We start from the raw sequence: 14,068 nt of genomic DNA, 5'->3' as shown, positions 1-14,068 counted from the left end.
GTCATCTCTGCACTTCTGGGTTTCCTAAAACTGACCTTCACCGCTCCCTTCCAATGTCTGTGTGAGCCTCTGATTTCCTGGATTAAGTCAATCTCTCTCACTTGTGCTCTCTGTCTCTCTTTCCTCTAAATACTGAGTGTGGCTCCTGTTCTCCTGCCCAAACCTGTATGGATAGGAGCAGTAATAAAGTGAGAGGGAAGCGGGTGCTCAGGGGCTCCTGGGAAGAGATGTTGAAGGACATTGCTTTCCTGTGGGGACACACACTCTAAGGTGTCAGGAAAGGGATGGGGACAGAGAGGCACAGTGGCAGCCTCTGCACACTGAATGTCTGTGTCCCCTCCAAATTCATGTGCTGAAACCCTCACCCACAACATGATGGTGTTGGGAGTTGAGGCGTTTGGGAGATGATTGATTAGGCCATGAGGAGGGACCCCTCAAGATGGGATTAGTGCCCTGATAAGAGGCTCAAGAGAGCTTGCTCCCTCTCTCTCTCTCTGCCTCTCTCTGTCTCTCTCTGTCTTTCTCTCTCTCTCTCTACCATTTGAGGATACAACAAGTGGCTGTCTGCAAGCCCTCACCAGACACCAAGCCAGCCAGCATTTTGATCTTGGATCTCCAGCCTCCAGGACTGTGTGAAATAAATGTTTGTTGTTTAAGCCCCCAGGCTATGGTCATTTGTCACAGCATTCCCAACTAAGATGATCAGAACCCACCTTTTGTAGTACAGCAGTTTCCGATGGTCATGAGGCCAAGTAGCCAAAGACAACCTTTCCCAATATTCCTCACAGCTATTTGCTGCCATGTGACTAGACTCTGGTCCCAACACAAGGTGAGCAGGGTGATGTGAGCAGCACTAGGCCATGTGTCCCTAAAATGAAAGGCATAAGCTCTCCCTTTCTTCTTCCCACTTGCCACCTGCTGGAGTATAGAAATGATGGCTGGGGCCAGAGCAGCCACGTTGGACTCAAAGACAGAAGCCACCTCTTGAGCACAGCAGGACAGCAAGAGAAAGGACGCTGGCTCCTTGCCACTGTGGAGCTGCGTTTGGACTGTTACATGCATGAGAACTAAACTTCTACGACGTTTTGACCACTGTGAAACTCCTTCTTGGTTACAGCAGCTGGAGTGTGTAATTTAACTCATGCAGAGATGCCTCATCCACTCTGGATGGCTTAGGGCTTAGATGTTCTTTGCAGAGACATGAACTCCAGTCATTCTATGATTTTTAAAAATCTATTGTCCTTTGGCAGTGCTGCTGCAAATTTCTGTTTCAGAAGGGAAAATAGTGCATATCATCTATAACTAGTGAAAATGTCTACTATGATGAGTGTATATTAGTGAAGGTAATGCCAAGTGTTCTAATAAAAGAAACCCAATAATATACCATGGCCCAGCACAGTAATGCTTTGTATGTTGCTGGAATAAAGTCCAGTTGGGTATTCCTGATCAGTCGGTGGCTCTCCTTCAAGCTGTGGTTCAGGACAAGCCCATTTCCTGGGCAACAGGGCCCCTTCCTGGGTCATCTCCATCCAGTCACTAGTTGGGGAAGGGAGAGAAGGAAACACCTTAGAAGTGAGGCCTGGAAGGGGCACACAACACTTCCGCCCACATTTCTTATCCATAACTCAGTCACATGGCCCTACTAGACATAATAGAGGCTGGAAATGTGATCCCCACCTGAAATGCCAGTTCCCAATTACATCCCTACAGCTTGGATGGAGAGCATAGATCTTTGGTGGATCAATAGCTGTGTGTCATGACTGCAGAGAGCTCTACAGCAGATCCAGCAATTTATGGTCAAAAATAACTGTGTAAAAATAAGAGTACATTCACTCATGCGGGCATCAAACACCATCCATGTTCTGCTGTTTACCCTAAGGAGACAAAGTCAACGACCTGCCCCAGACACAGCTCCACGCAGCTGAAATAAGAACTTGTCTCTTCTGCAGCAGACTCACCTGCCAGAATCTGTTGCTGTTCCCCACTGGGGAAGGAAGGGAGTGACTGCTCCTTCATCGAATGCCCCAAAAGGTTCATGTGAGGAGGGAGAAGTCAGACTGTGGTCACTACAGGTATTTTCAAGTTAGAAGGGGTTCTCCAGTTCACGTAATCTCTTCATTTTCATCCTAATTCTGTCTTGTCCAGAAGCAAATATTTTTTGTGAAAAATCAGACCTTGTGGGTGACCTTGAGCAGCCAGATATAAATTATTCCCACAAGCTTAGCGTTCCAATAATGGAACACTAGGCATAAATGGGTTAAACTTAATCTACAAATGTAACCCAGATGTAAGCTAGGATCCCATGTGGTCCAGTCTCAATGAGAAATTAAATTCAAAGAAGAATAGGCCAGGCGAAGTGGCTCTCACCTGTAATTCCAGCACCTTGGGAGGCCGAGGCAGGCGGATCATGAGGTCAGGAGATCGAGGCCATCCTGGCTAACATGGTGAAACCCTGTCTCTACTAAAAATACAAAAAATTAGCCAGGCGTGGTGGCAGGCGCCTGTAGTCCCAGCTACTCAGGAGGCCGAGGCAGGAGAATGGCGTGAACCCGAGAGGCGGAGCTTGCAATCATGCCACTGCACTCCAGCCTGAGCGACGGAGCGAGACTCCATCTCAAAAAAAAAAAAAAAAAAAAAAGTAGAATACAGCATCAAAGGTAGCACTAAGCTGTCCTCGAATCTCTTCAGGAAAATGATCATGGATCTAACTTTTTTTTTTTTGAGACAGTCTCACTCTGTGGCCCAGGCTGGAGTGCAGTGGCAGGATCTCGGCTCACTGCAGCCTTGACCTCCTGGGTGCAAGCAATCCTCCCTGCTCAGCCTCTTGTAGCTGGGACTACAGGCATGTGCCACCATGCCCTGTTTTTTATTATTTTTTTTTTTTGATAGAGATAAGGTCTTGCTATGTTGCCCAGGCTAGTCTCAAACTCCTGGCCTGAAGCAATCCTCCTGCCTCAGCGTGGATCTAATTTATAGCCCACAGCCATACTTCTTTTCTCCCTTCCCTAATTCTCTTCCTCCTATATCTGTCTCAGAGCCTCTCACAGGGCAAATTCCAGAAATCCTCTCTAATACCCCCACCCCATTCCCCTTTTGCATCTCCCCTGCTACTTCTTTCCTCATATTTCTTATAGAGATAGATTTAGCCTCTCAGATACTTTTGTAGATGGACTTTATATGGTTTTAGAGCGGTTTTAGGCTCACAGCAAAATCCAACAGAAGGTACAGAGAGTTCACATGTACTCTCTGTCCCACCCCCACACACACAGCCTCCCCAACTATTAATATCCCCCACCAAATAGTACATTTATTACAACTGATGAACCTGCATTAACATGTCATTATCACTGTATTAGTCCATTTTCACGCTGCTGATAAAGACATATCTGAGACTGGGCAATTTACAGAAGAGGCTTTTTGGACTTATGGTTCCACGTGGCTGGGGAGGCTTCATAATCATGGTGGCAGACAAGAGAAGAGAGCATGTGCAGGGAAACTCCTGTTTATGAAACCATCATATCTCATGAGACTTATTCACTGTCAGGAGAACAGCATAGGAAAGACCTGCCCCATGATTCAATTACCTTCCACTGGGTCCCTCCCCGAACACATGGAAATTCAAGATGAGATTTGGGTGGGGACACGGTCAAACCATATCAATCACCCCAAGTCCATAGTCCACATTAGGGCTCACCGTTGGTGTTGTACAGTCTATGAGTTTAGACAAATGTTTAATGACATGGACCCACTGTGACAGTATGATACAGAGGAGTTTCACTGCCCCAAAAAAAGTCCTGTGCTTCACCTATTCACCCCTCCCTCTCCCCAACCCATGGTGTTACCAGAAAAGGGGTCTTGATCCAGACCCCAAGAGAGGGTTTCTGGATCTCACGCATGAAGGAATTCAAGGCGAGTCACAAGGTGCAGCGAAGGAAGCACGTTTATTAAAACCTACTCCATTACAGAGCACGGGACCTTCCGAGAGAATGCACCGTCTTTGTTTTAAGTTTTTCTTATATAGGGGTCTTGTCTACGTAATGACTAAACCAAGCTGCGACTCTGTGAGGGGGAGCAGACAGCATGACAAAATTGATTATGCTACTGATTTAAAGAAAACTATCCTTAACAGTCTAGTACATGAGTACATCAAAGCACATCTATAATTATCTTGAAAGCACATATTGCTATGGGTATTGGGACATCTGGGCTTTCTGTTGTTTTAGGAGTTTGTCCTTGCAGGCAGTACCAAGCTGCCTCCTTAGCTGTGACCATCTTAGGACCATGGGTTGTGACTGGCAAGGAAGGTACCTTGTTAGTCTCAAGACAGAGAAGATTTTTCAGTGGTGTCACTCTGACTCTCCTCAACTCCTGCTTCCCTAATGATGGCAGCTCCTCTTTTTACTGTCCCCATAATTTTTCCTCTTTGGAAAAATCCCTCTTTGGGAATGTCACAGGTTGGAGTCATAGGGTGTGTAGCCTTTCCAGATTGGCCTTTCACTTTGTGATCTGCATTTCAGGTTTCTCTATGTCTTTTCATGGATGGAAAGCTCACTCATTTTTAGCACTGAATAGTATTTCATGGTCTGCATGGACGTGCCACAGTTCATTTCTCCAATCATCTGCCAAAGGACATCTCGGCTGCTTCCAAGTCGTGGTGATTGTAAATGACGCTGCTATCATCATCCAATGCATTTTAAGTCTTCCCTCCACTTTAGCCATTCTGCGAATTCCACTTCACGCTGACATCACAAAGACAGGACCCCTGAGGGACGGATGAAAGGAAATCAAGGAAGATTTTCAGAGGGCAGGTGGGGGGAGGCTGGGGACCTTCCTGTGGGGGCACAAATCTTGTCCTGTCACTGGAGGATGCACACAGCTCATGGAGACCACGTCAACCACCGGCCTAAGGAAAGCAGCGGGAAAGCTGTGAGTTGAAGCCAGAGATGAATCCATGCTCAACCTGTGTGTGGCAGACTCCTAAGTACTTGCTAGGGAGGGTCCTCAAAACCAGCTCCAGGTCCTCAAAATTAGTGTACAAGCTGTGGACACCACAGAGCAAAGCCACTGCTCAGAGAAAGCACACATCCTGGTTGCTATGTCTTCCATGCACGGGGCCCTCACTATGGACCAGACACTCCTAAGGGCCATGCACCCTGTACGATATCTGATCCCCCATCTACCTTCCCTTTACAGAAAGTGTGACGCGGCTTAAGCAGCTTGTCTGAGTTTGCACAGCTGGCAAATGGCTGAGCCATGACTCACACCCAGGTCCATCCACCGCCAAAGCTCCAGATCTCTGGCATCCTTCTAAGGTCAGAAAGGGAAAGAAATCCCTAATAAGGAGCCTGTGTGACGGCGTGCCCCCCTCCACTTTCCCACCCCTGCCAAGGACCCGTTTGAAGGCTGTTCACGCCAGTCACTGCAATCACCATTGAGCACAGAGATGACAGTTCCAGCAAGCACTGACCTTCCAGCCCACTCTGCGGAGGAGAAGACTGAGGGGCAGAGAGGCTGTTGATTTGCTGCAGTTGACTCTGACCCTAATTTCCCGGCGCTGACTCAAACTCATCAGGAACACTGCTTTCACTGAGTGTATGAAGTGGTTTCTCCATCCGTGTGGCTTTACCTGAACTCACACCGGTCCCACGGCCCAGGTGTGGAGCCGAGCACTCCCCTCTGCCTCCTCCCTGGACTGCAGGACCTGTGTCTCGCTTTATGAAAGAGATGCCATTTGGGGAAGACTCGCATTGTCGGGAGCGCTGTGGACGCTCCAGAAGGAGATCAACACGATGATGACGATGCCGGGTGGAGGGAATGTGCACTTCTCGGGAGGTAAATCACACCCTGCGCAGCGCCTATGGATTTTTGCTTTTCCTTGGCTGGTAGGAGCCGAGGAGGCTGCCTTCGCTGTGGTATTTCTGCAAGTTCTCATCCCCAGTGGGAAGAAGAATTGCCTGTGTTTGCTGAAATTAAAGCCAAAACCCAGCCGGCGCAGATGGGAGGGGGAGGCTGGGAGCAGGTGGGAGCTGGTGTGCGGGAGTGGACTCAGGCCCTGGGGCAGGGGGAAGAAGGGGGACCGTAGCATTATTTGGGAAACAGTCTTCTCAGGGCACATAAGGACGGCAGAGGATTTTTTTGGGGGGAGTGGATGGAGCTACCATAGAATGAGGTCCTGAAAGTCAGCAACATGGAGGAGCTGGAGGCCACCATGTTAAGTGAAATGAGCAAAGCAGAGCAAATACGGCATGTTCTCACTCACACAGGGGAGCTAAAAGGTGGATCTCACGGGGGTAGACAGTAGATTGTGGGTACCAGAGACCGGGAAGGGGAAGGGAGTGGGGGGATGAAGACAGGGTGATTGATGGGTACAAATATACGGTTGGATAGAAGAAATAAGTCCTAGTGTTAGAGCAGCAGGGTGACTATAGTTCACAATAATCTATTGTACATTTCAAAACAGCCAGAAAAGAATAATCTGAATGTCTCCAGCATCAAGAAAAGACCAGTATTGAAGGTGATGGATGCCTTAATTACGCTGATTGGATCTTTACAAATTATATTAATGTATTAAATTATTACATGTATGCAGAAAGTCTGTACACCTATTATGCACCAATAAAAAAGAAATTTTTTAAAGTGAGCAAAGGCCCCTTTGCCTTGGATCTCAAGTCTAAGAAACAGGCCCTGATGCCTTTAGGAAACCCCAAAAAGGAACGGGGCCCTTCTGGGAAGCGGAGCTGGTGAAAAAACACCCTGGACCTCAAAATTGAGCAAGCAGGGTTATGTTTCCCAGGCCAAACTGTCATCTTTACCCTAGAAATTGGGCCACACCTATGGTGCTGAATGGCTGTACCTTGGGCTTCAAGTTCCCAGATCCCACACTCCTTCCAGGTCCTATGAAAACCCCACAGCATCCCCAGGGATCCTCTGCAGGCCTTAGACAAAGCTCAGCCTCCCACTGGACATTATTCTTGAACTCGACATTGCTGCTGCCCTGGGCCCAACTGTGGGTTTGAGATTTCCTAGTGGCCCCTGGAGAACGGTCCCTGTATCGCCTGAAGGGGACCCCCTCACTAGATGCCCTATAGGCCTGCAGGTCCATGCACCAGGTCTGGCCCTGGCTCTGCTGGTCCTGAGCTCAACCCTGAGGATTAACTGGACTGGAACTGGGTGCCCGCGTGCCACCTTGCCCACCCATGCTTCATACATGTCACAAGCTTCACCCTCTCTTGGGACAAACCAGCTCATCATCCCCTGGCCCCTGGCTGTCGTGAACGCCATCTCCATCTTGGGATGTGCCAGCCTCGATTTCCTTCTCTGTACAGGAGGAGCCAAAAGCATTTTGCTGACCTCGGTGCAGATCAACCCTGCAACAAGGTGCAGAAGAGGCACCAAAGGGGCTTTGTAGCCAGCAACATGCCAGATCCATGCACCTTGTTGATGCAGCCGACTCTGCAGGGGTGCAGGAGGTGAGGACTCACACAGGGGTGCGGGAGGTGAGGACCCACGCAGGGGCGCAGGAGGTGAGGACCCACGCAGGGGTGCAGGAGGTGAGGATCCACACAGGGGTGCAGGAGGTAAGTATCCATGCAAGGGTGCGGGAGGTGAAGACCCAAGCAGGGGTGCCATCGAAGGCCATGGGAGGGACAGCTCCAGGAACAGAGGCAAGGCCCACCCCACCCTGACTATGAGGGGACAAGTCCATGGCCAAGGGTCCATGGCCAAGGATCTTGGGAGCCATTATCTCTGCTACACGCCATGCAAGCAGAGGTGCCCTCTGGCAACCAGATGCCGCTCTGGGTACAGCCGATGCAAACACGAGAGAAAGCGTCAACCAGATGGGATCATCGGCCCAGGGACAGAGAGAGGGGGGTGGCGTCGGACAGGTGGGCCAGGCACATGTGCCCAGCAGGACCCCATAGGGAGGGGAGCAAGGCTGGGGGAGGGATGGGGCACTGAGCAGCCGGTGCTAGAACAATCAGGAAACCTCCCAGGCAGGCATTCAAGCTGAGGCCCTGGTCAGCGGCGGGAGGGAGCCTCCTGGGAGGGTGAGACCTGGGAGAGGCTGTGCCTGCCAGCTCCATGTCCTGTGGTATCTTTGTCCGGCTTTGGCACCTAGGGATCACTGGATTCAAAAGGCGCTGAGAAGCATTTTCTCCTCCCGTCTTTTGGAGGTGTTTGTGAAGATCTGATATTAACTCCTCTTCAGATGTTTGGTAGAATTCAGCAGTGAAGCTGTCTGCGGGGCAGATGCCTATGAAAGGCGCCCTGGTGTGTTCGAGGCACGATGAGGAGGTCGGTGTCCCCCGGGACAGAGAGGGCAGCAGGTGGTGGGCAGCATGCCTTATGCAGGGCCCAGCAGGGTGAGGAGAGTGAAGGGTGCCATGTGGGGGAAGTGACAGGGCCCGGCTGTGTAGCAAGGAAGCCCTCTGGCCCTTGCCCTGTGGTGTAAAGGCTTTCACGGGAAAGGAACAGAGGCGAGAGGTCAGGTGCCACCGGTGCCATCCGCTCTTACCTCATTGCACACATGAGCTCATCAGGATGGGCTCTCGATTCTCTGGAGGAGTCCAGGGTCGAGTCCAGGAATCAGCCCGAGGTCAACTTGGAGAAAGACTGTGTGTCTAGCGTCTGCCTCCCTCCCTCGCAGCCTCCTACTCACCTGGCCTCCACCGCCCACCCAGCACCCCTGGGGACTGTCCCCATCCCCCCAGGGACTCCAGAGGGAATGTGTTTTGTGCCGTGTGGAAAACAAGCCATGCTCACTGCACACCACGACAGTCCCTTCAAGCTGTCAGAGTCCCTGCATGTGGAGTGAAAAGGGGGAAAAAAGACAATTTACAATTGCAAATTGGAACCCCTCTCTCGGAGTGGAGTGATAATCCAGCTAGGGAGACAGACGGTGAGGAAGTGCTCCAGGAACATGTTACAACACATCACTGCCTAGCAGAGACGAGAGGCTCCAGGAAGGACCTGGTGCCTGCCATTCCAACCTTGAGGGGCTCCTGGAGGGACGCTGAGGACAAGGCGGCTGTCCCATCACCTCACTCTTGTCTCTGCCCTCACCTCTCCCCACCGTGCAGGGCTCAGGACTACGGGCGCCCAGACACAAAGGCCCAGAGCCACAGAACAGTGAACTCCACACTGTGCAGCTGTTGGCGGGAGGGGCGGGGAGAGAGACCAGAGTCCCATTTCTGCTGCCTTTTAAATAAAAGACAAGGAGGATGGCGAGGAGGAGGTCAAAACTCACTGCAGTCTATACCGCGGCACAGATCCCGACTCAGGGTGGGGGCATGTGGGAGGGACAGAGGGAGGGGGAAAACACAAACAAAGAGGGAGGAGGAGGCCCCTCCGCTTCATGCAATCGGGAACAGGTGTGCGGGAACCCTGGGGTGTCTGGCGTCTGGCATGGCAGGCTCCCATCCTGGGTTCCGCCAATGCCGCCGGCGAGGGCCCGCTCTCTCCCCAAATGCTGCTCTTTTCAGAGGGAAAAAAAGGCATCATTCCAAAGATAGGGTAGACGCTGAATGAACAAATGTTTTTAAACACCCATGTTGTCATTATTTCTTCCAGAAGTTGATTCATTTACGTGGCGATCTGAGAGCCTGTCACTCACTGAGGCCAGAGTGGACCCTCAGAGTCAGGCACTGGTTCAGGGACCAGGCCCTGAGGTGCGGGGATAGACGGAGCCTGACAAAGGCCAAGACACAGTGGTCTGGGTCCAGGCTGGGGACAGGAGTGGCGGGGCAGCGGAGGACAAGGAGACAGCCAGGCAGACCCCAAAGCCTGGACCGGGCTGGTCTCGGGGACGTGCGGGTGTGGAGGGAAAGAACGTTCCCTGCAGACAGAACGTAGGATGGGCAGCACACGGGACAGCTCGTGGTTCAGCCAGGCTGCAAGGACTCCAGAAGGTTCTATGGCTGAGTCCTTACTGCAGACTGGAAATCTTCAATGAGCCGCTAACAAAAAGTGTCAGCAAACAATCAAAACCAAAACACATGTGTATGGATGCAGTGGGGCGAGGCAAGGGACATTGAGCTGGTGGAAAATGAAGAAAGGAGAGGGAGAGCCATGGGGCTGCTGAGCCTGGACCGGCCCATTCCCGCTGGGCTTCAAGGCTGTGGGAGCATTGGTGTCCTGGCCTGGAATCGGTGAGCACAAAAGCACCAAAGATCTGAAAGGTTCTCAGGATCAAAAGCCCCTTTGTGAACTGTTCAATATTTTCAGCAGAAATCCAGTAAATGTCAGAGGTTTTTTGGGGTTTTTTTGTTTGTTTGTTTAGGCACCACCTGTTTCTCCCTATGGGAAAAGAAAATGATAACTACTGCTAAAAAATGAAAATTTAAAAACCCCTAAAAGATCATCTGAGGTGCATGTGAAGCTGTTCTGGGCCATGCCTGAATGTGAACAGAGCCAGCCACTTCGCCATGCAGGGAAAGCCTTGGAAGGGAAAAGCGAAGCCCAGGCTGCCCGGCAGCTACAGCTCTGGGCGGCGTGTTCCTCACCCTCCTCTCCCACCAGTGACTGCCTCGGAGGGCAGACCTCAACTCTTCCCGAAGGCTGAGTCCGAGAGGCCCCCGCGCTGAGGGCGTAGCAGCCCACTGGACCTCACCCCTTGGCACCCCTGCCCTCAGGGCACAGGAGTGACTTGAAGCTATGGCTGGCTCAGGGCCCTAGAGGAAGTCACATCTGGTCATTGAGCACACAGGGCAGGTGTCGGGACAGCGCTGTGTTTGGCACTCACTCACTCATTCATCCATGTATTCATCTGTGGGTTGTGAAATTAACTTCGCAAATATTTACAGAGAGCTTTCCAGGGTTCTTCAAAGGGAAGAAATAAAGACGGTAGCAGAGTTCCTGTTTAAGCTTCGCTCTCATTGCGTCCTGGCGTCACGGGGGGCCTCAGGGTGACTTGGCAAAGTGAGCTCCCACCTCCTCCAACCGAAAAACACCAGCAGGCAGGATCGCACGGCCAAGGCGGTGAGTCCCGCTCCACTAAGGCAGATCTTGAAAAGTGCCCCCATCTCTGTTGGTTTCCTGAAGCCACAAACTGGGCAGCTTCAACAACAGAAACTTATTCTCTCCTCGTCCCGGAGGCCAGAAGTCCAAGATGAAGGTGTGGACAGGGCTAGTTCTTTCTGAGGCCTCTCCCCTTGACTCCCAGATGGCTTTTTTCACTGTCACATGGCCTCTGTGTGTGCTTGCGCATGCCTGTCTCCAAACCTCCCCTTCTTAGAAGGACACCAGTCCTATGAGATTAGGGCCCATCTGAATGACTTCATGTCAACTTAATTCTGTCAAGACCCTATCCCCAAATAAGGTCGCACTCACAGGTTCTGGGGGTAAGGACTTCAGCATGTGGATTTGGTAAGGGGGTACACAATTCAGCCCATAACAATCTCTGAGCCTTCATCTTCTAATTAAAAAAAAAAAAAAAAAAAAAAAAAAAAAAGGCCAGGCACAGTGGCTCACACCCATAATCCCAGCACTTTGGAAGGCTGAGGCCAGCGGATCATTTGAGGTCAAGAGTTCAAGACTAGCCTGGCCAACATCTTGAAACCCTGTCTCTACTAAAAATACAAAAAAAAAAAAAATAGCAGGGCATGGCGGCATATGACTCTATAGTCCCAGCTACCTGGGAGGCTGAGGCAGGAGAATTGTTTGAACCCAGGAGGTTGCAGTGAGCTGAGATCGAGCCACTGCACTCCAGCCTGGGTGATAGAGCAAGACTCTATCTCAAAAAGAGAGAGAGAGAGACAGGCCAGGCGTGTTGGCTCACGCCCGTAATCCCAGCACTTCAGGAGGTTGAGGCAGGCAGATCACTTGAACCCAGGAGTTTGAGACCAACCTGGGCAACATGGTGAAACCCTATCTCTACAAAAAAAATACATAAATTAGCCAGGCGTGGTGGCTCATGCCTGTAGTCCTAGCTGCTCGGGAGGCTGAGGTGAGAGGATCACTTGAGCCCCAGAGATGGAGGCTGCAGTGAGCTGATAGTGCCACTGTACTCCAGGCTGGGTGATAGTGACACCCTGTCTCAAAAAAAAAAAAAAAGAGAGAGAGAGATAGCACCTGCCCCAACTCTCTCCCAGAGCAGACCCACTGGATTGGGCCCAAAGGGTGCCCTGTGAGCTTCAGAGGGCTGTGCTGTAGGCGCCACCCACTTTCCTCTCAAGTACAGGCAGCAAGAGAGACAGGGACTCTCACCTCCCAGTGGCCCTCAGAAAATCAGAGGTCCCGGGCAGGATGTTGGCATGTGGTCCACTGGCTCCTTTAAGAAAAGCCAGGTATCCTCAGAGACCCGCACATAAGGTCAGTACTCTCTCAGCAGACCAATCCATTTCTCCCCACTAAGTAGCATCTGATGGCGTTAGATGCTAAGACTCTCTCTTCAGAAGTAATAAAAAATAAAAATAAAAATAAAAAAGGCAGTCCCTTAGTGGGAGGGTGTTTGGCATTTCATCTGAATTCCACAATGAATAATTTATATGAAAATTTTATCGGAGCCCAGCTTTCCACAATAAACGTTCCCTGAGAACACACGCAAATGCTTCTGCAGCCATCTCTCTCTCTGCTGGATTGGGCTGACGGCCCAAATCAGATCTGAGTTGCTGCATCACTTATTTACAAAAAATATCATAATCTTACTTTTATGTGCATTTTTCCCAGCATCCGTGGGTGACAAGTTTGAGAGGCACAGGCAGCAGCGGCCGCTGCTTCTGTTGGATCCAGGAGGGAAGGGAGGTTCTGAGCTTTGGAGCGGGAAGTGAGGAGCCTCAGCTGTCCGCACCCTTTTGCCTGCAACACAACAATTAGGAGAGGGACTAGGAGGAAAGGAGCCACCTGGTTTCTGGGGCATAGAAGCCCTATGCAGCCACGTGTCCCGAGCAGAGTGAGGTGGGGAGGGGGCCAGAAGGAGACCTCAGTTATTCAGCGTCAGGAGGGGGGGTCCAGAGTGTGGCTTGGGGACAGGGAGACCCAGCTTGAACCCTCCTCCTAGCTAGGTTATGTGGCTTCTCTGAGTCCTTGACCTTATTTGGATAATGGAAAAAAGAGAACCCACCTTTCAGGACTGTCCTGGGAATGTACTGACCTGTTGTGGGCAGCGTGGTCATCACACCAACCTTCACATCCAACAAATGCTTGCAGAACTGACAGGCACATGGCACGAGCACGCCGCTAACCAGGACTGTGCTTTCTGATATTGCTGTTTCCATGGTGGCAGGGAGAGGGCTCCAGCCCAGCTGCAGCGTCCAGAGGCACAGCCCCCGCCTCCTGCATTCGCTGCCCAGGGGTTCACGTGTCCTCAGCTTAATGTCTTCTTAATATTTTATACACTTTCTCCTTTGTGAATTCATCTCTTTTCATGGAGGAATTGCCTGTGTGTGCCCAGTGGGAGCTTGAAGGCATCAGTCATCGTCACATCCTCCTGAGGATTTCTCAGTCAGCTGCTCTAGGCAGGTCCTGAGGGAGGGGATGGAGGAGACCCCAGAACCTGGCGCTGCCCTTCCTGTCCCAGCCAGGTGGGTGTCCTGGTTTAGGGCTGCCAGGGACATGGCCTGTCCCAGGGACACAGGCGTCAGCACCGGCTCTGTTGCTCACCAGCTGTTTGACTTGGAGCAAGTTTCTTAACTTCTCTACGCCTGTTTCCTTATCTCTAAACTGAAGTGATCATGATCCCCTCCCCAAGAGAAGTCGGGAGGCTCCGGGATGGGACGGTGCACACGCAGCCTTCACATCGTGCTGAGGCAGCACCAAGCATGCACCCCAGAAATGCCAGTTGTCTTGTGCAGCTAGTCCTGCAGTCCTCCCAGTCTGCAGGAGCAGGAAGGGAGCCTGGTCTGGGAGCTGCCCGTTGCCCACAGTGACGTGCTGGAGGACCCAGGACAAGGCCTGGCTCTCCACCCGCTGCACCGTCCACCTCTGCCTGGTTGACAGCTTCGCCAGCCATTCTGTTTGCCTTCTCCACTCCCTCCTTCCCTATAGGAACCAGTTCTGGGTTTGGCACCCAAAACCAAAAAGATTGGCCCCTTCTCTGCGCTGCCCATGGACTTGGGAGGCTGAGCACATC

At 51.5% G+C, this 14,068-nt stretch overlaps 2 long non-coding RNA genes across 2 annotated transcripts; one reads left to right on the top strand and one right to left on the bottom strand.

Moving 5' to 3' along the window:
- Positions 1-1,205: 1,205 nt before the first annotated feature.
- Positions 1,206-13,177, bottom strand: LINC01346 (long intergenic non-protein coding RNA 1346). Its single transcript, NR_040065.1, has 3 exons — positions 13,091-13,177; positions 12,646-12,795; positions 1,206-1,536 (listed from the first exon to the last, which is right to left on the bottom strand). It is a non-coding gene; the product is annotated as a long intergenic non-protein coding RNA 1346 (long non-coding RNA).
- On the top strand, positions 4,809-6,640 carry LINC01345 (long intergenic non-protein coding RNA 1345). Its single transcript, NR_147024.1, has 3 exons — positions 4,809-4,926; positions 5,194-5,832; positions 6,461-6,640. It is a non-coding gene; the product is annotated as a long intergenic non-protein coding RNA 1345 (long non-coding RNA).
- Positions 13,178-14,068: the final 891 nt, after the last annotated feature.

This window comes from Homo sapiens, chromosome 1 (assembly GCF_000001405.40).
Source record: "Homo sapiens chromosome 1, GRCh38.p14 Primary Assembly".
In the NCBI taxonomy this organism is placed as follows: Eukaryota; Metazoa; Chordata; class Mammalia; order Primates; family Hominidae; genus Homo; species Homo sapiens.
Note: the sequence above shows the minus strand (reverse complement) of the source record. Positions and strands in the feature narration are given on the sequence as shown.